The 23,528-nt window shown below is 39.2% G+C and overlaps 1 protein-coding gene across 4 annotated transcripts in view; it reads left to right on the top strand.

Annotated features, from left to right (window-relative positions):
* Window positions 1-23,528, top strand: part of GDPD4 (glycerophosphodiester phosphodiesterase domain containing 4) — an 85,142-nt gene that overhangs the window by 32,551 nt on the left and 29,063 nt on the right. For 2 of the 4 annotated variants that reach the window (XM_011544834.1, NM_182833.3), the window contains exons 9-11: window positions 80-225; window positions 610-692; window positions 10,607-10,763. In XM_011544834.1, the coding sequence (XP_011543136.1) occupies window positions 80-225; window positions 610-692; window positions 10,607-10,763 (386 nt within the window). The remainder of the gene's footprint in view (window positions 1-79; window positions 226-609; window positions 693-10,606; window positions 10,764-23,528) is intronic. The other 2 variants (XM_047426557.1, XM_047426558.1) reach the window with 1 other exon arrangement.

The raw sequence follows: 23,528 nt of genomic DNA, 5'->3' as shown, positions 1-23,528 counted from the left end.
CTGCTGCTTTGCTTGGGATGATTTTCCATCCCTCTTTATCTCTTTTTCCCCCACTTCCCCTTCCTTTCAAATTTTTCAGGTCTACAAGTGCCTGTTGGATTACCCTTTCTTCTTATCCTTTTAGGTCTCTATTTGATGCCACTGGGGATTTATTCTCCCTGCATTCAGGAGAAGGAGAATTTGGGGCCCAAGCCAACCATCTTTGGACATAGAGGTGCACCCATGGTAGGTCTGAGCATGATGAACATGGGTGAAAATAAGTATGTGTGGGGTATGTGGTCAAGAGAAGAAAAGAGAACCATGGAAGCCCCTGGAGAGAAAAAGTGATTGCATTAAGATGGCAAGAATAAAGAGTTCATTGTAAAGGCTGGACTTGAATCCAGGCCACCTAACTCCCAGTCCATTTCTCTTTACTGTGCCCAGTGACATTGTCTCAGATGAGCAGAGTCCCAGAATCAGCTTGGACGGAGGGTATACAGGTTTTGAAAGGAGATCTCAGGGAGCCAAGCTCTGCTCCCCAAAATCCTACTGGGCTCTACCCCTACCACAAAAGGAATGCTGGGAGGAGAGACTCTGAGGCTTAGGGCCTGATGTCCTTTTCTTCTACAGTTGGGGCCTGAGAATACCATGATGTCCTTTGAGAAAGCTGTTGAACATGGAGCCCATGGATTGGAGACTGATATACACTTAAGGTAAGAAAGCAGGGAACTGGGGTGAGGGGAGGAGGGTATAAGTTCAATGCCATGCAAGAGAACCAGCCTGGCCTGAGGTTGTAGAGACAGCAAGCCCTGGGGAGTTGTTCCTGTGTTCATATGGCATATATGCATGTACTACACAAATGAACCACATCTCACAAACCGCACCTCTGCATCTCCATGTTTTCAATGACAGGGTTACAAATCAGACACACTAGATATAGTCTTCACACATGATTCACATATGGCCCCATTGCAAACCGTGCTTACCACTTCACTCTATGTACTACCTTAGCAATTTATTTAACATTCCTTGAGCATTTGCTGTATTCCAGGCCTTCTTCTGAGTGCTTGGGAAATGCAAATGAATAAGATGTAGTCATACCTAAAAGATGTTCCAGCTAGTGAAGGAGACATGGGATGTTTACAGATAACTACAGAATAAGGCCATTTGTGGCAAGAGCCTTCCAGAGAAAAATAAGTGTAATGGAACCTCAGTGGAGGAAAAGGTCACTTCCTGTTGTGTGGGAAAAAAAAGAAAAAAAATTTGTGTGCTCAAAGTTGTGTTTGGGTTGAGCCTCGAAGGAAAAATACCATTTTACCAAGCAGAGATGGGGGAAGGAGAAAATTCCAGGGAATTCATTCTGAAAAGCTTTTGCTCTAAGACCCTATGAGGAGAATGAAAAGACAAGTGTCAGACTGGGAGACAATATTTGTAAAACACATGTCTGGCAAAAGACTTGTGTCTAGGATATATAAACTTTCAAAACTCAACAGTAAAATGAAAACAAAAACAAATACAAACCAAACAATCCAATTAGAAAATGGACGAAATACATGTGTAGATATGTCACTGAAGAGAATATACAGATAGCAAATAAGTACATGAGAAGATGTTCAACTGCATTAACCTTTAGGAAAATGCAAATTAAAACTAATACTACTCATCTATCGGTATGGCTAAGTTAAAAAATAGCAAGAACAGTAAATGCTGGCAGACAAATTGAGTCACTCATATGTTCCTGGTGGAAACATAAAATTGTATAGCCACTCCAAGTAAGTCTGGCAGTTACTTAAAAAACTAAATACAGTCATATCTCACTTAATGATGAGCATACGTTCTGAGAAATGCGTTGTTAGGCAATTTTATCACTGTGTGAATATCATAGAGTGAACTTACACAAACCTAGATGGCATAGCCTACTACACACCTGGGCTATATGGTATGACCTGTTACTCTTCGGCTGCAAGCCTGTACAGCATGTTACTGTACTGAATACTGTAGGCAATTGCAGAACAATGGTAGGTATTTCTGTATCTAAATATATCCAAACATAGGAAAAGTACGGTAAAAATAACAATATAAAAGATAAAACATGGTACACCTGTATAGGGCATTTACCATGAATGGAGCTTGCAGGACTGGAAGTTGCTCTGGGTGAGTCAGTGAGTGAGTGGTAAGTGAATGGGAAGGCCTAGGACATTATGTACACTACTGAAGACTTTATAAACACTGTTCACTTAGATTGCACCAAATTCATAAAAAAATTTTCTTCAATAATAAATTAACTCCAGCTTATTGTAACTTTTTGACTCTTGTGATAACACTTAGTGTAAGCACAACTACATTGTACAGCTGTACAAAAATATTTTCTTTCTTTATAACCTTATTCTCTAAGCTGTTTTCTATTTTAATTTTTTTTTAACTTTTTTGTTAGAAACTAAGAAACAAGCACACACATTAGCCTAGGCTTACACAGGGTCAGGATCGTTCATATCACTGTCTTCTACCTTCACATCTTGTCCCACTGCAGTGTCTGCAGGGATAACATGCATGGAGCGGTCATCTCCTATGAAAACAATGCCTTCTAGAATACCTCCTGAAGGACTACCTGAGGCTGTTTTACATTTAATTTTTTAAATATATAATAGAATGTATATACTCTAAAATAACAATAAAAAGTGTAGTGTAGTAAATATATAAACCAGTAACAGTTGTTTATTGTCATCCTCAGGTATTATGTATTATCTGTAGTTGTATGTGCTATACTTTTATATGATTGGCTGTACAGGTTTGTTTACAGAAGTGTCACCATAAACATACGAGTAATGTATTGTGCTACAATATTACGGCTACGAAGTCACTAGGTGATAGGAAATTTTCAGCTCCATTATAATCTTATGGGGCCACTGTCATATATGAGGTCCGTTGTTGACTGAATTGTCATTATGTGGCACATTATATACTTACCATACACCCCAGAAATTGTACTCCTGGGCATTTATTCCACAGAAAAGAAGACAATGTTCATATAGAGAAAAACTTCACATTAATTTTCATAGCTGTTTTATTTGTAATAGCCCAAATCTAGAAACAACCCAAATGTCCTTTAAGAGGTTTAATGATTAAATAAACTGTATTCATCCATACTGTGGAATATTACCCAGCAATAAAAATGAATGAACTATTGAAACATGCTGCTATTTGGATGGACCTCATGGGAGTTACTTTGAGTGAATAAAGCCAGTCTCAAAAGGTTATATACTGTATGATTCCATTTGAAGATCACATTCAAATGACAAAATTAAAGGGATGGAGAAAAATCAGTGGTTTCCAGGGGTGAAGGAGGCAGAGAAGTGGCTCCCACTTTAAAAGGTAACACAAAACTCTTCTTGTATATTTACTTTTCTGTATCTTGACTATGGTGGTGGTGATATGTCTGCACATGTGATAAAATTAACAAAATATACAAATAAGTTCATGTAAACTAAATATAGAACTAAATATACAAATAAGTTCATGTAAAACGAATGAAATCTGAATGAGGTCACAGATTTTATCAGTGTCAGTTTCCTTGTTGTGATAGTATAGTATAGTTATGCAAGATGTTACTATTAGGGGAAATGGGCTAAGGGTATATAGGATCTCTCTGTATTTCTTACAAACCCATGTGAATCTACAATCCTCTCAAAATAGAATTTAAAGAAAAGAATTGCGTTAGCTTTCTTAAGAAAAGATATAGATAAAGTGATTCTAAAATCAGAAGATGATCCATTCTGACATTTTAAAACTTTTCTAGGCCCTATATACTGCTCCAGTTTATGCTCCATGTCTTCACTTTCTTTTAAGCAGCATTCCTCCAAAGAGTGGTCTGTACTGCTCTAGAGGATCAAAAGGTTTTATTGGTCTACCCTTCTAGGTTCTTTGGCTAGTCTACAAATTAAATTGACATAAGACAGATTAACAGGAGAAAAATAATTTTAATTACCTATGTGCACATGGGAGTCCCACAAAAATTTGAAACTCAAGGAAAAGGCCAGATGATTGAAGCTTGTATAGTTTCCTGAGCTATAGAAAGGAATAGGGGTGTGCGGGGGCAGAGACAAATTGTGGTAAGAAGAGGGAAGAAAATGTGTGGTGAATAAAGGTTGTCTTATTAAACAGATATAAGTCTGTTGATAATAAAATGATTTCAGAGCAGCTCTCTTATTGGTACAGATACTTTTACTAATGAAAATTTCCTTTATAAATATAAATTTCCTTTACAAAAGGGCAACTTTTCAGAGCTTCTCCTGTGTCTGCAGTTTCTCAAAATAACCAGCTCAAAATAATCAATATGCCAAAGAGGTATATATTGGGGTGGCATATTCTGGTCTCCTGCCGTCATATTTTAGGGTGAGTGTCTTGAACTCCAACATTGCCTTTCTTTGCCTTCTCTCAGTTCTCCCCTTTGTTTTGGATAACTTTTAATCCTTTTTGAGCCTATCCCAATCAGGCTTCTTCTACACCACTTCTCAGAGCTCTTACTAAGTTATCAGGGACCTCAAACTTCTTAAACATCATAGTAAATTTTCATTTTCATCTTACTCTCTCAGCATTTGAGAAGTCCTTCATTTTTGAAAGACTTTCTTTATTTGGCTATTAGAATACCATACTCTCCTGATTTTCTTCCTACCTGGCTGTTTCCTATGTGACTTCTTTTGCTGGCTCCTTCTTCCCTTCTTGCCTTTAAAGTGTTGGAATTTTTGAGATTTGTGATAATATAGTTGTAAAGGATGTTTGATCCCTACCCCAAGTTCACCCCAAAGTGAATTTGATAGTGCTCATCCCACTTTATAAAATTGCAGCTATGTTGTTCTTAAATGTGAAACACGTTTATATGAAAAAACCTTCATTTGAATATATTTTTGAGAAACATTTGAAAAGGCAGAGACATTTTTTAAATCTAAAAAGCAAGTAATGTAAACAAGTTATTTGCATCTGAGTGAAAGCCTATGGGAGATTCTGAGAAGATCTACGCAAAATTTTTGGCTGCTATTATTCCCAGTCCTCTTATAAAATTTTTAGCATAAAAGCCCAGCCAGCCATACACCTCTCTGGAGAACACTGAATTAAGTTTTCTGGGGATTGCAGAAACACACAGATCCTGAAGAAATGTTGACCTCCTCGTGTGGACCAATAGGAGAAATCTTGCCAACAGTCACTGGAAGTCCATGGAAGCTGAGTTAGATTGAAAGATCCCAATAAGCTTGTTTGTGCCTATTGCTCTTACTCCCTCTCTACTAATGCAGTCTCCGCCTAACTTTTTAAGGGAAATAAATGTAAATGTCACACATAACAAGTATGTGTGTGATAACTAGTTTCTGTTGGTATTGCCTACCCTTTAGCATCCATGATGAACAAAATGTCAAAAATTTTAATGAAGATGTGTCATGCCAAGCCATATGAGAACCTGAGACAAAAGGAAAAATCAGTAATACTATCTTATCTTCATTTAAAATTTAATATTTTGTTTATAGTGGATTTTTGCATTGGTTTTGTCTTTTAAATATTGTATTAAAATAGTATTTATCTTGCTTATTAGTTTTTGGCACCCCTTTAAATTTTAGACCCATGGCAAGTGCACTATCATTTTGTTGTTTTCTCCTTTCCTGCCTCCTTTTGGACTAATGGAGCATTTTTTAGAACTTCATCTCTACTGTTGGATTATTAGCTATACCTCTTTTCTTTTTTTTCAGTCGTTGTGCTAGAGTTTACAATATGATCTTTAACTTATTTCTCCCTTTGAGTATTATACATTTTTGTGTAAAGCATATGTCTTTTATCAGTACACTAACATTTCATCTCTCTCATAGTATGACCTGGTGCTATCACGAACCTCATTATACATTGCTATTACTTTTTGCTTTAAACAGTTAATTCTGTTTTTAAAAAATGAGAAAAAAGTTTCTATATTTACTCACGTATTTATCATTTCTGGCACTATTCTTTTGTGTAGATCCAAGTTTCAAATTGTATCAATTTCCTTTTTGTCTAATAATTATTTTAATCTTTTTTACAGTAAAGGTATGCTGGAAATGAATTATTCTGCTTTTTGTTTGTATGAAATATTTTAATTTTCCCTTCATTTTTGAAGAATATTTTTGCTGCATATAGAATTCTAAGTTGACAGTTGTTTTCTTCAAGCATGTAAAAATTGTTATTTCCTAGTTTTCTGTCTTATGTTTTGATAAGAAATCTTCTGGATGCTTATCTGTATTCTCCTCCACATATGCCCACCCCTAGCCCCAGCTCCTTTTTTTTTTTTTTTTTTTTTTTGCAGCAGAGAAAGATTTAGTGATAGAGTCATCAAATGAGGAAATAGGAGGAAACCTCAAATCCATCTCCCTGAGGAGTTTGGGGCTAGAGTTTTTAATGGTTTTGGAGTGGGCTGAAGTGTGCAGATCGTTGATTGGTCAAAGAGTACAGGGTAAAGTCAAGGGACAGGGAGATGAAGAAACTATATTCTCATGCTGATTCTGTTCCTCTGTGGGGGTCCTCAAACTGGTTCATATCAGCTGTTTTACCGGAATATGGGATCTGAAAAACATCTTAAGCAATTCTTAAACAAAAGCCTTGTGATTCTAATGTCAGAAATCCTATCTATAGATACACTGGGGATGCAAATGGTCAATGTCAAATGATTTTCCATTACAAGGAAGTGGTTCAAAATGAAGCCTGATTAATACTTAATTAGAGCTATATTTCTGTCCAGAATTCTTGTTAACCCTGTGAGGATGGCTTCAGTACCCCCTTATCTTCTTTATCCCTCAGTCCTGAAGTGTGATCATTAAGGAGGAATTGGGCCATGACTGCTTTGGCTGATTTCCTGCTGACAGGGGTCAAGGGTACCATAATTAGGATTTGAGGAATGAAACTGCTTTGTAGTAGCCTGTAAATGTTCTTGAGTGCCAGGTATAGGGTTCTGATTCTGCATGACAAAAGTGTCAGTTCTTTTGTTACTAGTCCTCATTGTCTGTTGTGAATAGAAAGAAGAGCAAGATGACAATAATAAGAGTTTGTAAGGGGAACTAAAACCAGTTTCCCATTCCCTTAGGAAGCCAGCTAAAGAGATCATTTAAGGGGAATCTGTGGTACACACCTCTCATAACTATTTAGCTTATTTGGAAATTTTTTCTATTCACAACAAGTGGTATTAGCTATTGCGCAGATACCACTTGTTTTGCCAAAAGGAAATCTAATACAATTTAATTATTCAGAACTGCCTGGGCCAAAGAGCTTAAACCATTATGCCTAACAGCCTTCTTTATTTCAGCATGTCAGCATACCACAATTTGGGTGTAGGTTTCTGAGCTCCAACATCCCCATCTGAAGCTTCCCTAGAGGTTTCACACACTAAAAGCTGAGTTGGTGGGAAAACTGAGTTAATAGCTGAGTGGCAAAGGATCCCCGTAAACCAGTCTTCTATTTCTGGGAATAGCCCAGTCCCATTAAACAGCTGTGTCTCGTTTCAGGAGTTAGTATTGCAAATGAGCTTTCAAATGGAAGAAAAACAAATGTAATGTTTGGAGAAATCTATAAATCGGTTTCCTTAGTCTGGAGGGCAGTCAGTTGAGGTGTCTAGATGTTAGATTTGGCTGGGCGTGGTGGCTCAAGCCTGTAATCCCAGCATTTTGGGAGGCCGAGGCAGGGAGATCACCTGAGGTCAGGAGTTCGAGACCAGCCTGGCCAACATGGTGAAACCCCATCTCTACTAAAAATAGAAAAATTAGCTGGGCGTGGTGGTGGGCACCTGTAATCCCAGCTACTCGGGAGGCTGAGGCAGGAGAATCACTTGAACCTGGGAGGCGGAGGTTGCAGTGAACTGAGATGGCACCGCTACACTCCAGCCTGGGTGACAGAGTAAGATTCTGTTTCCAAAAAAAAAAAAAGATGTTAGGCCCAAAGCATCTTCAGTTAACGTGGAAGCAGGCAGTGGCAATCTGACATATTTTTCTTGCCTGTAGTTTATGTATCACAAGATATGCCTGCAGGAAAAATATAGTAGTAATTTCATTGAGTCTAAGTGAGAAAAATGGAAAGAGAATTTGAAGACATTAGTTTGGAGACTTTTAGCCAGGAAAGAATTCAGCATTCAGTTCAAATCTTCATCAGATTTTGAAAAAATTTTTAGTTTTACTTTTTGAAATGTTTTTTTCTGCACCTCCCTTCTTTTTTAGGACTCCATTTACATATATATAATACTGCTTGATCATTGCCTTACAGGTCACTGATGCCTCATTCTTTTTTGTTTCAGTCTTCTTTCTATGCTTTCATCTGGATAGATTCTAATGCTGCATCTTTAAATTCATTGTTCTTTGCATGATCTGCAATATCTGATCTGTTTTAAATTTCATGCAATGAAATTTTCATTTCAGTTATTATATCTTATCTCTAAATTTCCGTTTTTTATACCTTGTATGTGTATCTTCATTATGTTCATGTTTTCCTTTACATACCTTGTTTACACCTTTATAATTTTGTTCTACACTGTTTAACACCCTTGTCTATGAATTCTGTCATCTCTTTCACTTTTGAGTTTGTCCCTGTTGAGTAATTCCTCTTCCATATGGTCACATTTTCCTGCTTGTTTATATCTCTAGTAAGTTTTGATTATATGCTGGACTTGTAGTTTTACATTGTTGGGTGCTATATCTTGTATCCTTTAAGGTTGGTCATTTTCTAGCAGATAGTTGTTACTTCCAGACTAGTTTGGTCTTTTCTTTTGAAGCTTGTTTTTAAGCTCTTTTTTAGAGGATCTAAAGTGGCTCTAAGGCCATTGTAGTTCTAAATTATTCCCCCCCCTCCCCCGACCATTTTTTTTTCTGAGATGGAGTTTCACTCTTGTTGCCCAGGCTGGAGTCCAATGGCGCGATTTTGTCTAACTGCAACCTCCGCCTCCCAGGTTCAAGCATTCTCCTGCCTCAGCCACTTGAGTAGCTGGGACTACAGGCGTGTACCACCATGCCTGGCTAATTTTTGTATTTTTAGTAGAGACGGGGTTTCACTATGTTGGCCAGGATGGTCTTGATCTCGACCTCATGATCCGCCCACCAAAGTGTTGGGATTACAGGCGTGAGCCACCGCGCCTGGCCAATTATCCCCTTTTCTAAGGTGTGATCTTCTGGAGTCTCTAAAGAAAGCCTATGTAATTACTGAAGACTCTCCTCTCTCGCTGGATGGAACTTGAATGATTCATACCCCTGTGCAAGCTCCGATTGTCTTAGAACTGTCTGGTAATATTTTCTTTTCTTAGAAGTTGTTCTTGCCAAGCTTCATAGTTTTACTCTGTACACATACAGATTGATATTTAGCCATACACTTATGGACTTTTGCATATTTTCTTGGAACTGTGTGTTTGTTTTTGCATAACTCTATCCTTTATGGGACTCTAGCCCATAAATTCTAGCTGTCTTGGCTCCCCCCTTACTCTAATCTCTTTCTTCTCATTTCAGCAAGACAGCTAGGTCCCTTTTAGGTTCCCCCACCCTGTACTGAAATTCAGTATTCACCTGCAGGAAAGAAGCCTGGGCGATGGAATTGCTTATGTCATTTTTTTTTTTTTTGCTTTTCTCAGAGATTGTAGTAATATTGTGCATCCTTTTGTCCATTAACTGAAAATAGTTATTTCCTTTATTTTGTCCAGTTTTCTAGTGGCTTATAGCAGAAGAGTAAGTTCTAAGCCTTATCTTCCTCATTATAGATGTTCTCTTCATAGATATTTTAATGAGAAAGGGAGAGATAGTTTCATAAAATCAGAGATTCTCCAAAGCAAATTGCAGATAGAAGAACAAGGAACTTACCTTATGATACTATCTGATGTGGAAAGTCTAGGACCAGAAATATTCAGTGTAGGCTGGGCACGGTGGCTCATGCCTATAATCCCAGCACTTTGGGAGGCTGAGGTGGGCGGATCACTTGAGGCCAGGAGTTCGAGACCAGCCTGGCCAACATGACAAAATCCTGTCTCTACTAAAAAATACAAAAATAAGCCAGGTGTTGTGGTGCATGCCTGTAGTCTCAGCTACTCGGGAGGCTGAGGCAGAAGAATCACTTGTGTGATCACAGTTGTGGTGAGCCGAGATCATGCCACTGCACTCCAGTCTGGGTGACAGAGCAAGACTCCGTCTCAAAAAAACAAAAACAAAAACCAAGCAAACAAACAAAAAGAAATACTCAGTGCAGTGCCTAGCTGGGAAAGGATCAGAATAATACAGGAAAACTGTGTGGACACCTGCTTAGTATGGTCCTGGAACCTGAGGACCTTGCATCATCCCTACCTCCATTCACTTTATTTTCAGGCCACTACTGTGCCTGCTGTTTTCCTAATGCCAGAAAGCCCCTGAATAGAGAAGCTAGTCTTTCACGATCACTAATGTGATTATATATCATGAAAGATTGATCCCTAGAGCAGAAAAATATTGACATCAAAGTGTAAATGACTGATATGTAGCCCTTTTCTAAGATTTGAGAGGGAGTAAGGAGCCCTAGTGACACTTGTGACCTTGAAGGACTGTCTGGGGAGCCTGTCTACCAAGGTAGCTAAATTCAGCCTATCTACCCCTGCCCTTCTTTTCTACCTCTGCCTCAGTTATGATCATGTGCCTTTCCTCATGCATGACTTTGACCTGAAAAGAACAACCAATATTGGGGAAGTTCAGCCAGAATCTGCCTGCGAGAACCCTGCCTTCTTCAACTGGGATTTCCTATCGACTCTGAATGCAGGCAAATGGTTTGTAAAACCAGAGGTAAGACACATTCCCAAGTTCCACAAACCTGCATTGAATTTTTGTAAGAGATCATGTGCTGCTCCTGAAAATAAAGGCCATAGATGAAGATAGGCAAGTATCCACACGATTTCATCCCAGTTTGGTAGCAGGACTATAGTATTGGCAGGAGGGCTTTTTCAGTAATGAAGTGAGTCTAATTGCTGCTTTCTACATTCACTAGAAAGTCTGAAGACAAACTTGTAAACTTACCCTTATCTTGTAATTTCTTTTTACCCAAATATTTCATAAGCTTTTACAGTATGGCTAACATGTACATAACATTTTCCTAGATGAGGCAGACTAGGACATATATTTTTGATTTTTTCTGCTTGCCATTCAACAAATATTTATTGAGCACCTAATGGTACAAGGCACATGGAATATAATGGTGAATAAACACACATCCAGCCTTAATGGAATTCACAGGCTAGTATAAGAAACAGACAGTTACTGTACATTGTGATAAGAGCAAAACGAGTTAATTTCAGGTTGCTTCAGGAGCACACAAGAACAACTTCTAACTCAGACTGAGGAATGTAGATGGGAGATTCTGGAAGGAGATGTATAGACTAATAATGGATGTGGTACAGTATAAAGCACGTGCTGTGCAGTGTACAGTGTAATTTTGAGGCAAGTATGAATGGTTCCTCTGGAAGAAGTTGGGGAATACTTTATGCACAGCTACCATTTGAGCTGAGGGAAGATCATTACCAAGGGGAAGCAAGGGCAGTAATGATGATGTGTTTCAGAGATTATCCTGGAGCAACAGGGTGTGTGTGTGTGTGTGTGTGTGTGTGTGTGTGTGTGTGTGTAGGAGAGGGAGGGAGGGATAGAGGAAAGAAGAGAGGAAGGAAGAGGGGTAGGAAGTAGATGAGCGATAGATTGGGAGAATAATCTGGAAAACATGTTGATCGGAGATTATGGCAATGCTTACATAACAAGTTAAAGAGTTTAGAATTATCCTTGAGTGTTTTTAAGTGGGTAAAAAGTCAGAATTGCATTTGATAAAGGTCAAGCCTACTTTCTCAAGATAGATTAAAGAAAACAAAACAACCTACGTTTTCTAGCTTATTTTATGACTAGGAATTCATGTGACCTAGGTTCTGACCAATCAGCTATACTCATTTGAGACTTTGATTTTGAAAATAAACATCTCAACAAGATAGATAGCATGCATCCATATTGCTAGCACATGTGACAGCAGAGATAGCAAGGTGTGAGGGTCAGCTGTGGTAATAGCTCACTTATACGGTAGTAGTGTAATTAGGAAAAGAAAAGGGATTTTTGATTGTGTACTGGTGGAATGGAATTTTATTTATGTTTGATGTTAATCCTGAGGGCCGTTTGATCATGTTTCATGTAAAAATAGGGAAAAGTGAAGAATTATGTACAGATGGACTTACCTACTGTGTTTGTCCATTTTGTTTTGCTATAAAGGAATACCTGAGACTGGGTAATTTAAAAAGAAAAGAGGTTTATTTGACTCATGGTTCTACATGCTCTACAAGCATGATACCAGCATCTGCTCGGCTTCTGGTGAGGAAGCTTTTACTCATGGCAGAAGATGAAGGGGGAGCAAGGCATGTCATATGGCGAGAGAGGGAGCAAGAAAGAGAGAAGGAGGTACCAGGCTCTTTTCAACAACCAGCTCTTGCTTGAACTAATAGAATGAGAATTCACTCATTACTAAGGGGAGGCCACCAAATCATTCATAAGGGATCTGCCCCCATGACCCAAATGCCTCTCACTAGGCCTCACTTCCAACATTGGAGGTCACATTTCAACATAAGATTAGGAGGAGACACATATCCAAACTGTATCATCTACTGAGACTCCACTTCAGATTCATTGTATTAATTAGTATTGATATAAGAAATAGCTGAAAGTGGATTTGTTATTACTGTAGTTACTCAGAATATTTGTCCTCATAGGAGTACATAGTCTATCCATGCTATTTCCATATATGAAAATAATGTGATTACTCTGATATTCTAGGTTTCTGAGTATATGTAGCGTCTGCAATATGTCTCATATATAGACACATAAAAACTAGAGGTGCTCCATTAGGATGTATATATTGAATTAGTTAGCTATAGTTAATATTTTGGCAAAGGTGTGTTCTAGATGAAAAGCCTATTATTGTATCTGATGTATAATATAAGGCTGATAAAAGTCTTATTAGGATTTACAGAATTAAACTTACTCCTAAAATTGAGCCAAAGTTTCATCAGGCTGAGATGTTTGATGGAACAGTAGAGTTGATGAATTTTAATTAATGGATGCTTTTTCTTGGTCGTTATTGGAACTTAGTGGTCCTTATTGCTGAAAGACAACAGTTGTTTCTCATGTCAGCAGTCATGGTTAGCTACCATGTGGGAACCATGAATTTAATTTTTTTCATAATTCTAAGTACATTCAGAAACATTTAATACTTAATAACTTATTAAATAGCATCCTTATTTTTAGTTTTCTTTTTTTATATTTATTTATTTATTTTTGAGACAGAGTCTCGCTCTGTAGCCCAGGGTGGAATGCGGTGGTGTGATCTCGGCTCACTGCAACCTCTGCCTCCCGGGTTCCAATTCGAGCAATTCTCCTGCCTCAGCCTCTCGAGTAATTGGGATTATAGCTACGCGCCACCATGCCCAGCTAATTTTTTTGTATTTTTAGTAGAGATGGGGTTTCACCATATTGGCCAGGCTGGTCTTGAACTCCTGACCTTGTGATCTGCCCACCTTGGCCTCCCAAAGTACTGGGATTACAAGTGTGAGCCACCGCACCCAGCCTTATTTTTATTTGTTTTGAAACGGAGTTTCACTGTCACCCAGGCTGGAGTGCAGTGGCATGATCTCGGCACACTGAAGCCTCCGCCTCCTGAGTTCAAGCAGTTCTCCTCCTTCAGCCTCCTGAATAGCTGGGACTACAGGCGCCCGCCACCATGACCAGCTAATTTTTTGTGTTTTTAATAGAGGGTTTCACCATGTTGACCAGGCTGGCCTCGAACTCCTAACCTCAGGTGATCCACCTGCCTCAGCCCCCCAAAGTGCTGGGATTACAGATGTGAGCCACTGTGCCTGGCCTTATTTTTGGTTTTCAAACATTTCTTCAAAACTGTCTCCAGTTTTGAATGTTTGGGTTAGTTGTAAGTGATAGGGTTGGATCTGTTATTGCAGTGACTTTTGGTAGGCATTTTTTTAGCATTAATAGCTCTGTTTTAGCATGTTTAGGGTGTTTAGGTGCTTTGCTTGTAGCATTTAGTTATCCTACTTCAATGGCTACTGAAGAGCATCCTGAAACCTGGGGTTCAAATATGGTTGTCTGGAGACTTTATCTTTAGGTTTGATCGTGGAGCTTTCTTTGCTTTCATGCTGTATGGTTAGAAGGTAGTTGAAATGGTGTTATCATGTGATTTAAAAGATTTGGAGATTTGGGTAGTTTTTTCCATAGTGAAGAAATTAGTAAAGATTATTCTGATGATTCTTTATTGGTTGGGTATGATTATTGATTGATCATGGTGGTGAATTGGTCATTATTTATTAATGTATTTATTAATCTTGAGATTATTGTGAAAATCAAGTAGTTAATCTTATAACAAAATAAGAATAGATACAGACATTCTGGGAGTTGATACTGGAAGCTAAACTGAATTCCTGTTTCTTTAGCCCAACCAACACTTCCGTGGAACTTTGTTATATCCTTTTGTGAAAGTATAATTATAGAAATGATAAAAATATAATTTTCATGCAGATACATAGTTGGCATGAGTACAAGTTTTATTTATCACATTAATGAAGGAACAGGCAGGATGACAGAACCCACTCAAAGGAGAAATGACAGCAAGATATTCAACTAGAAAATACTAGCACTCATCCCTTCCACAAAGACAGCCAAAACAATAAATAAAAAAACATATTTTAATGAAAATAAAGGACAGCACCAGAGTACATCAGAGGAGTAACAGAAACCCTGGTGAGCACAGAAACTCAGGAGACCCACATAGAGAATGGAAGGAAACAACAGGACCCTGCCACCTCATCCCCCAGCTGAGATCAGCCAGGAACCAGGAGGAACTTCTCTCTATGGTGAAAAGGTAGGCAAGAGGATCCCAGCAGCCCCCAGCAACAGCTTGGACCCCTATTGGGGTCCCCTGCAGTCCTCACAGGCCCTAAGCCCAGCTGGGGTAGCTACCTAGAGGCCATACAACTGTGTTCCCCTCAGAGAAGGAGCCAGCTGTGCCTGCCCCGTGGCCTACATGGCTACTGCGCAATGCCATCTTGGAACTACTCACATCTTGCTCCAGAGGTGAGTAGCCACAGCACCCCTTCATCCCTTATGCTAAACTACTGGGGAACCACCCCAACAGAGTGGCCTAACATCCCCAGGCCAAGCAACTGTTACACCTTTCTCTGTGGAGCCAAGCAGCAGATAGAACTGTTTCACCTACCCCTCCCCCTGTACCCTTGGGCTAGAGATGGAGCTGTGTGCCCTTTCCTGGGGATACGGTGCTTTGGCAGAACAGCTCCATCTACCTCTTTCAGACTTGGCTATGCCCTGCCACTGGGGTCCTGAGTTGAAACTGTGCACTGCCCTCTCAAGGAAAAAGTACTTTGTCAGAGCCCTGTGTGGCAGGGAAATGGTGCCTGGGCTGCTCAGAACAGTCAGGCCCCCAAGGCCTGAGTAGAGTGGCACATCAACCCTTGGAGAATCAATGTTTTGGCTGAGCTGAGCAACTGCACGTTCCATGGCTGAGCTAACATAGTACCCTTCATCCCAGGGAAACAAACCAGTGTCTGAGGAGAGATACCCGACCCTACAGGCCAAACAATTGTAGTACCCTGCTTCCCTGGAGCTGGACTAGCTCCCTAGAGTCTAAGCTGCTGAGATAGTGCCATCCCTAAGGAATGGAGTCACATGGTGCTGCTTCTTGCCCCCCAGGACCCAAACAACAGCCATACTGGGGTACTTGGCTGCTGCACTTGGCCTCACAGAGTCTGAGATACTGCTGAATCCTACCATCTTAGAGTCTAGTGTTGCCACTACATGGTGCCTCATCCCAAGGCACCCAAGCTGCCACTGAGCCCTGTTGGCTCAAGCTCCCAAATTATAGCCATACCCTGTGCCCTAGGCTCAAACCTCCAGAACATACCTTCTTCCTTAGAGTCAGTCCAGGGCTGTTCCCTGCCTAGCAAGAGTGGAGTCACAGCTACAGCCTAACTTCCTGGACTCAAGCTGCTAAGGGGTTGGAGTCTGATGGTGTGGGCAACCTATGTCCAACTCTGCCACAGAGAGTGAAAGGTTCACAGAGAGGGCAAATAGGTTTGTGAGACTCTGATCCTAGGACTCTGCCAATGTAAACATTTGCACCTGGAATCCAGCACCATGGCAGTTGATTGTAGGCCGTGTCAGACCTGACACCAAGAGGGATCCCCTCAGTGAAGTCTCCTCATTGTAGGGAAAACAAGAATTGGAGAACACCAAAAGCATTTGTGGACCAAGGACATTAACAACATACACCTCTGCTGTTGCGACAACAAATTTCCACACCCCTAAGCCACTGAGATGCCCACAGTTTTTGCTGACGCTGAATGCAGCCAAAGAAGCTGCACAGAGACTATACCACTGCACCTACCCAGGAACAAAGTCACCACACCCTTCTCAACTAGTGCACTAAGACCCAACTGCAGGTGAAAATCTTTCTCTAGAAAAGCCACTCTAGAAAGTTTAGAAGAGGTGATTATTCCACCAGATGCATAGACATTAGCACAGGGGCACAAGAAATGAAAAAGCAAGGAAATATGACACCACCAAAGGAACATAATAACTCTAGTAAAAGACCTGAACGAAAAGGAAATAAATGAATTACTGGAAAAGGAATTCAAAATAATTACCTTAAGGAAACTCCATGAGATACAAAAAAATAGACAATTCAACAAAATTAGGAAAACAATTCATTATGTCAATGATAAATTCAACAAAAACATAGATACAGTAAAAAAGAACCAGCCGGATGTGGTGGCTCATGCCTGTAATCCTAGCACTTTGGGAGGCCGAGGCGGCTGGATCACCTGAGGTCAGGAGTTGGAGACCAGCCTGACCAATATACTGAAACCCTGTCTCTACTAAAAAACACAGAAATTAGCCAGGTGTGGTGGCATGTGCCTGTAGTCCCAGCTACTTGGAAGGCTGAGACAGGAGAATGCTTGAACCCGGGAGGGGGAGGTTGCAGTGAGTCAAGATCACACTACTGCACTCCAGCCTGGGCTACAAAGCAAGACTCTGTCTCAAAAAAAAAAAAAAAACAAAAAAAAAACAAACAAACAAAAAAACCCAAATGGACACCCTTGCAGCTGAATAATTCAAGTACCAAAATAAAACAATATAGTACAGAGCTTCAACAAGAGACTTGTTTCAGCAGAAGAATCTCTGAGCTTGATGTATCATTTGAAAATTACCCAGAGGAGAAAAAAAGAAATGAGAATGAAAAAGAATAAAGAAAGCCTACAATAAAGGACACTATTAAGCAAACAAATTTTCATATTGTAGATGTTCCTGAGGGAAAGAGTTGGAAAGCCATAGAAACACTATTTAATGAAACAATAGTTTAAAACTTCCCAAATCTGGGGAGAGGGGTGGACATATAGATCTAAGAAGCTCAAAGGTTCCCAAATAGATTCAATCCCAAAAGGTCCTCACCAAGGCATATTTTATCAAATTGTCAAAAGTCAAAGACAAATAATTCTAAAAAGAGCAAGAGAAAAGCATCAAGTCACATATAAAGGAATTCTCATTAGACTGACAGCTGAAACTATCCAGACCAGGAGAGAGTAGAATGAGGTATTCAAAGTACTGAAAGAAGAAATATTGCCAGCCAAGAATATTTGACTCAGTAAATCTATTCTTCAGAAATGAGGGAGGAAGTCTTTCCCAGACAAGCAAAAACTGGGGAATGCAAAACCGCTAGACTAGCCCTATAAGAAATATTCAAGGGATCCCTGCATCTGGAAGCAAAAAGGTGATAATCACCATTATGAAAACATGGAAAAGCATAAAACTCATCAATAGAGCAGATAGGCAAAGGAGAGAGAGAAAAAAAAATCAAACCTTTTATACTACAGAAGACCATCAGACTGAAATGAAAAACAAGAAGAAACAAAGAATATACAAAACAAACATAATACAATTAACAAAATGACTACAGTAAGTCATCCCCTATTATAATAACCTTGAATGTAAACCAATTAGTCACTTGAATGATACAGACTGCCTGAATGAATAAAGGAAATGACTCAACTATATGCTGCCTACAAAAAACTCACTTTGCCTGTAAAGACACATACAGACAGAAAGTGAAGGGATAGATATTCCATGCAAACAGAAACCAAAAGCAAGCAGGAATAGCTATATTTACATCAGATAAAACAGAGTTTAGTTCCAAAACCATAGAAAGACAAAGAAGGTCATTATGAAATAATAAAGTGATCAATTCACCAAGAAGATGTAACAATTATAAATATACATGCACTCAACACTAAAGCACCCAGACATATAAAGCAAATATTATTAGATTTAAAGGGGGAGAAAGATTCCAACACAGTAAATGTTGGTGACTTTAACATCCTACTATGGGCATTGAACAGATCATCTAGACAAAAGATCAACATTGGATTGAAACTGTACTTGGACCAAATGGACCTAACAGACAATTACAGAATACTTCATAAAATAGCTATGGAATACACATTCTCTTCATCAGCACATGGAACATTCTCCAGGACAGACCATGTGTAAGGCCACAAAACAAATCTCAACAAATTTAAAATAATTGAAATCATATTAAGTATCTTTTCTGACCACAATGGAATAACACTAGATATCAATGAGAGGAACTTTCAAAACTGTACAAGTATATACACCACAAAATACTATGCACTTATAAAAAAGAGTGAAATCCTGTCTTTTGCAGCAACATGGATGCAGCTGGAGGCCATTATCCTAAGTGAATTAATACAGGCTCAGAAAACCAAATACTGCATGTTCTCACTTATAAGTGGGAGCTAAATATTAGATATACATGAACATAAAGATGGCAACAATAGAAAATTGGGACTACTGAAGGAGGAAGGGGGCCAGGGTTGAAAAACTAACTATTAGGTACTGAGCTTAGTACCTGAGTGATGAGTTCATTCATACTTCAAATCTCAGCATCATGCAATATACCCAGGTAACAAACCGGCACATGTACTCACTGAATCTAAAATAAAAGTTAAAAAAATAAATTTTATTGGCTCAAATAAAAGAGAAAATGTAAAAATCAGATAATACTGTGTTTATAAAATTTTATGTCAAATTTAAGCTTTTTACAAATAAGATGTTATACTTTTTAAAAACTGTACAAATATATGGAAATTAAACAACGTGCTTCTGAATGATCAGTGGGTTAATGAGGAACTTAAGGAAATTTAAAAAATTTTTGAAATGAATGAAAATAGAAACACAACATACCAAACCTTATGGGATATAGCAAAAGCAGTGTTAAGAGTGAAGTTTATAGCAATAAATGCCTACATCAAAAAACGTAGAAAGATTTCAAATAAGCAACATAATCACGTATCTCAAGGTGTCCCCTTGAGTTTTTAACTCTCAGACTTGTCCACACTAATCCTCCAGGAATTTGTCAGTGATGGTTCAAGTTTTCCTACCCGAGCACTGGTTTCCTTAGTGGTTTCCATTTGTTAGGCTCATTCTGGTAAGCTATGATTCATCTCCTTTCACCTGTGTCTCCAATTTTCTGGGCAGCAGTTTGCCCTGTGTCCTCACCTCTATTACAGATCCAATAAGAGTTGTTGATTTTTCATTCTGTTCAACTTTTTACTTGTTGTTAGGATGGAGTGACAGCTTCCAAGCTCCTTACATGTGGAACCAGAAACCAGAAGTCTATTTGGTTATTTTTTGAATCAATATAGTAACGTTCATATGAGCTGTAATTTGATAATGTGCGATAGAACCTTCTGAGGCTTCGAAAAACAATTTGTCTGTAGTACATTTCTTCTTGTGGTTCTTTTTGCAAAGTAGCTTGCTAATTTTTTTTTTTTTTTTTTTTGAGATGGAGTCTCGGTCTGTTGCCAGGCTGGAGTGCAGTGGCGTGATCTCGGCTCACTGCAACCTCTGCTTCCCGGCTTCAAGCGATTCTCCTGCCTCAGCCTCTCGAGTAGCTGGGACTACAGGCACACACCACCACGCCCAGCTAATTTTTTGTATTTTTAGTAGAGACAGGGTTTCACCATGTTGGCCAGGATGGTCTCGATCTCTTGACCTTGTGATCTGCCAGCCTTGGCCTCCCAAAGTGCTGGGATTACAGCTGTGAACCACCTTGCCCAGCCTCTAATATTTAAATTTATAGGGGAGAGGTCATGAGTTCGAGACCAGCCTAGCTAACATGGTGACACCGTCTCTACTAAAAAAAAAAAAAAAAAAAATTAGCCGGGCATGTTGGTGGGTGCCTGTAATCCCAGCTACTCGGGAGGCTGAGGCAGGAGAATTGCTTGAACCTGGGAGGTGGAGGTTGTAGTGAGCTGAGACTGTGCCATTGTACTCCAGCCTGGGCAACAAGAACAAAACTCAAGAAAAATAAAAATTAAAAATAAATAAATAAATGTACAGGGAAAGTGCCATAGAGAAGAAAGAGATGTTCTTCTGACAATGGTCTCAAAGTAATAGTTTTATATTGGGACATGGAAAAAGACAGGATTGTTAGATACTCCCACTACTTAAGTGGTTGTAGTACTCTGGTGATCTGATTTTTTTATAGTAATGCAATTAATGGTAGATGTGGTGGTGCCCATATCAACAAGAAAATTGTATTGTTGGCCGGGCATGGTGGCTCACGCCTGCAATCCCAGCACTTGGGAGGCCGAGACAGGTGGATCACAAGGTCAGGAGTTCGAGATCAGCCTGGCCAACGTGGTGAAACCCTGTCTCTAGTAAAAATACAACAATGAGCTGGGCGTCATCGTGCATGCCTGTAATCCCAGCTACTTGGGAGGCTGAGACAGGAGAATCACTTGAACCTGGGAGGCGGAGGTTGAAGTGAGCTGAGATTGCACCACTGCACTCCAGCCTGGGCGACAGAACAGGACTCCGTCTCAAAAAAAAAAAAAAAGAAAAGAAAATTGTATTGTTGTTCACATGTAGTTACAGTTAGTTCTTATCAGAATCGTCTATTCAGTGGAATGTTTCCTTGATGTGGCATCATTGGACAGGTTTAATTGTCCTTCTATTTCTTTCTTTCTTTTCTTTTTTTTTTTTTTTTTTTTGAGACGGAGTTTCACTCTTGTTGTCCAGGCTGGAGTACAATGGTGCGATCTTGGCTCACCGCAACCTCTGCCTCCCGGTTCAAGCGATTCTCCTGCCTCAGCCTCCCAAGTAGCTGGGATTACAGGCATGTGCCACCACAGCCGGCTAAATTTTGTATTTTTAGTAGAGACAGGGTTTCTCCATGTTGGTCAGGCTGGTCTCGAACTCCTGACCTCAGGTGATTCGCCCGTCTCGGCCTTCCAAAGTGCTGGGATTACAGGCGTGAGCCACCATGCCCGGACTTGTCTTTCTATTTCTTAACCAATATTATACATTGGTTCTTCCAATAACCTTTCTTTTTGTAATATGTCTACACAGAGGCACAGAGAACAGAGGACCTTTTAATCTTATTTTTATTTGAGGAACCAGATGTTTCATCTGGAGGACCAGAAATTTATTTTCATTTCTAGCTTGTTACTTCCTGTGGCTTTTTGAAAACATTCAATCACATGTTGAATATAGTCTAAACAGGCATTTATCCATTCCAGTTTATTTTTCTGATTAAGTCTAAAGAGGCACAATGTACTTCAGCTGTTAGGCCTACCCCCATAATACTATTTAAAGTTTACTGGAGTCTAGTTTTAAACTCTTATATTGATTAAATATTTACCATCTTTGCTATTTTGAATTTTTGGTCTTGTGTTGGTCTTTCCCATAAATTCTTTTAACAATTTTTCTCACAAGAAGGTTTAATAGTTAAGTGAACCAGTTGGTTTAGGTCTGGTAGTAGCTAACAAAATCTTGAATTCTGAAGCATATTTCTATTGTCCTGAGAATTAAGAAAACCATTAGTTGTAGCTTTCAATCAGATCTAAACCATGGTTTAGATCTGCCTTCTGGCCTAGCAATGATCTGCCTTCTGGCCTAGCAATTTTCCGGAGATACTGTGCAATGTGATTGTTTCTTTCCTGAGAAAAATGTTTAAAAAGGCAGCTTATTTAGGTCAAAGGAAGAAGAAGAAGAAATAGGAGAGGTATGAAAGAGAATGAAGATAAAGTTGTGTAGAGAAAAAGAGAGATTACTTGAGTCTTAAGAAAATGTGACTTCTTCCTTCTGCTACTTCCTTCTCCTGGGAGGTAGCCTTTTATCACTGCCTTCACTCAAATGATCTAAAAAATGGCAAGTGATTATCAAAGTTGCCATCTATTAAATTTAATGTAGCAAACATATGTGTGTTCTCCCATGTGTTAGGTGAAATGCTGTGCGTTTCAAAGAATGTATGACAGTTCCCACCAAGAGGGAGTTACACTCCAGTAGAGTCAGCAGAGAGTGAAGGAACTAATGTGAATTGTATACTTTTCTATCTATGTACCAGACATACTCCCAGACCCTGTAAATATTTTTATCATATTTAATCTTCAAAATAATCCTAAGAAATATATAGGTTATTCTTCCTCTCCTCTATTTTATAATTTGGGCAATGATGACTTGGAGAATTTAAATGGTTTTATTACCAAGGTTGCATAGCAAGAAGCATAGTGAGCCAGGATTGAACTTTAATGTACTAAGACATGTCCAAATTCTAATTCTGAAAATTTGTCTCTAATTGTATATTTATAAATATAGTCGTTAATAATTTTAGTTTCTTCTCATGCTTAGCTATTTTTACATACATTAGCTATATATGAATGAGACATACAGAGGCATAAAAATGGGCCATTGGGCTTCAAAGCCATTGAAGTCTCTTTATTTATTGATTTTTTTAGAGATAGGGCCTCACTCTATTGCCCAGGGCCTCACTCTATTGCCCAGGCTGTAGTGCAATGGCACAATCATAGCTCACTTGCAGCCTCAAACTCCTGGGCTCAAGTAATCCTTCTGCCTTAGCCTCCTTAGTAGTTAGGACTACAGGCATGTATCTCCACACCCAGCTATTTTAAAATTTTTTTGTAGAGACAAGGGTCTCACTATGTTGCCCAGGCTGGCCTCGAACTCCTGGCCTCAAGTGATACTTTTGCCTCAGCCTGCTGGGATTAAAGGCATGATCACAGCACCAGCCTTGAAGTCTCTTTAGTTCAGGAAGATTAAAGGAAAGCTTCATGAGGGAAATAGCATTTGAAGGGTAGGATTTTAACAAGTGGATATGGCAAGGAAGTCAAGGGAGGGGTAGAGCTGGTATTAAATTCAGTTGAAGCCAAAGCATGTGTTCTTCCTATTACACAAAACTAGAATAGCGGGAGCCCATGTAGGAAGCCAGCGTGACTGAAAAGGGATGTATTATCTTGACTTATGGGAGAGAAGGCTGGAAAGGAAGGTCAGGATAAGAACATGACCTTCAGTGCAAATACAACAGGTTGTAGGATATAGAAGAGACCATTCCAAACACTGTAATTATTGATGATGATTACATTTTATTTCTCTCCTTGTCACCTGTTTTCTAGGATTAGTACT

This window comes from Homo sapiens, chromosome 11 (assembly GCF_000001405.40).
Source record: "Homo sapiens chromosome 11, GRCh38.p14 Primary Assembly".
In the NCBI taxonomy this organism is placed as follows: domain Eukaryota; kingdom Metazoa; phylum Chordata; class Mammalia; order Primates; family Hominidae; genus Homo; species Homo sapiens.
The sequence above is the reverse complement of the archived record's forward strand: the minus strand, read 5'-3'. Positions and strand labels throughout refer to the sequence as shown.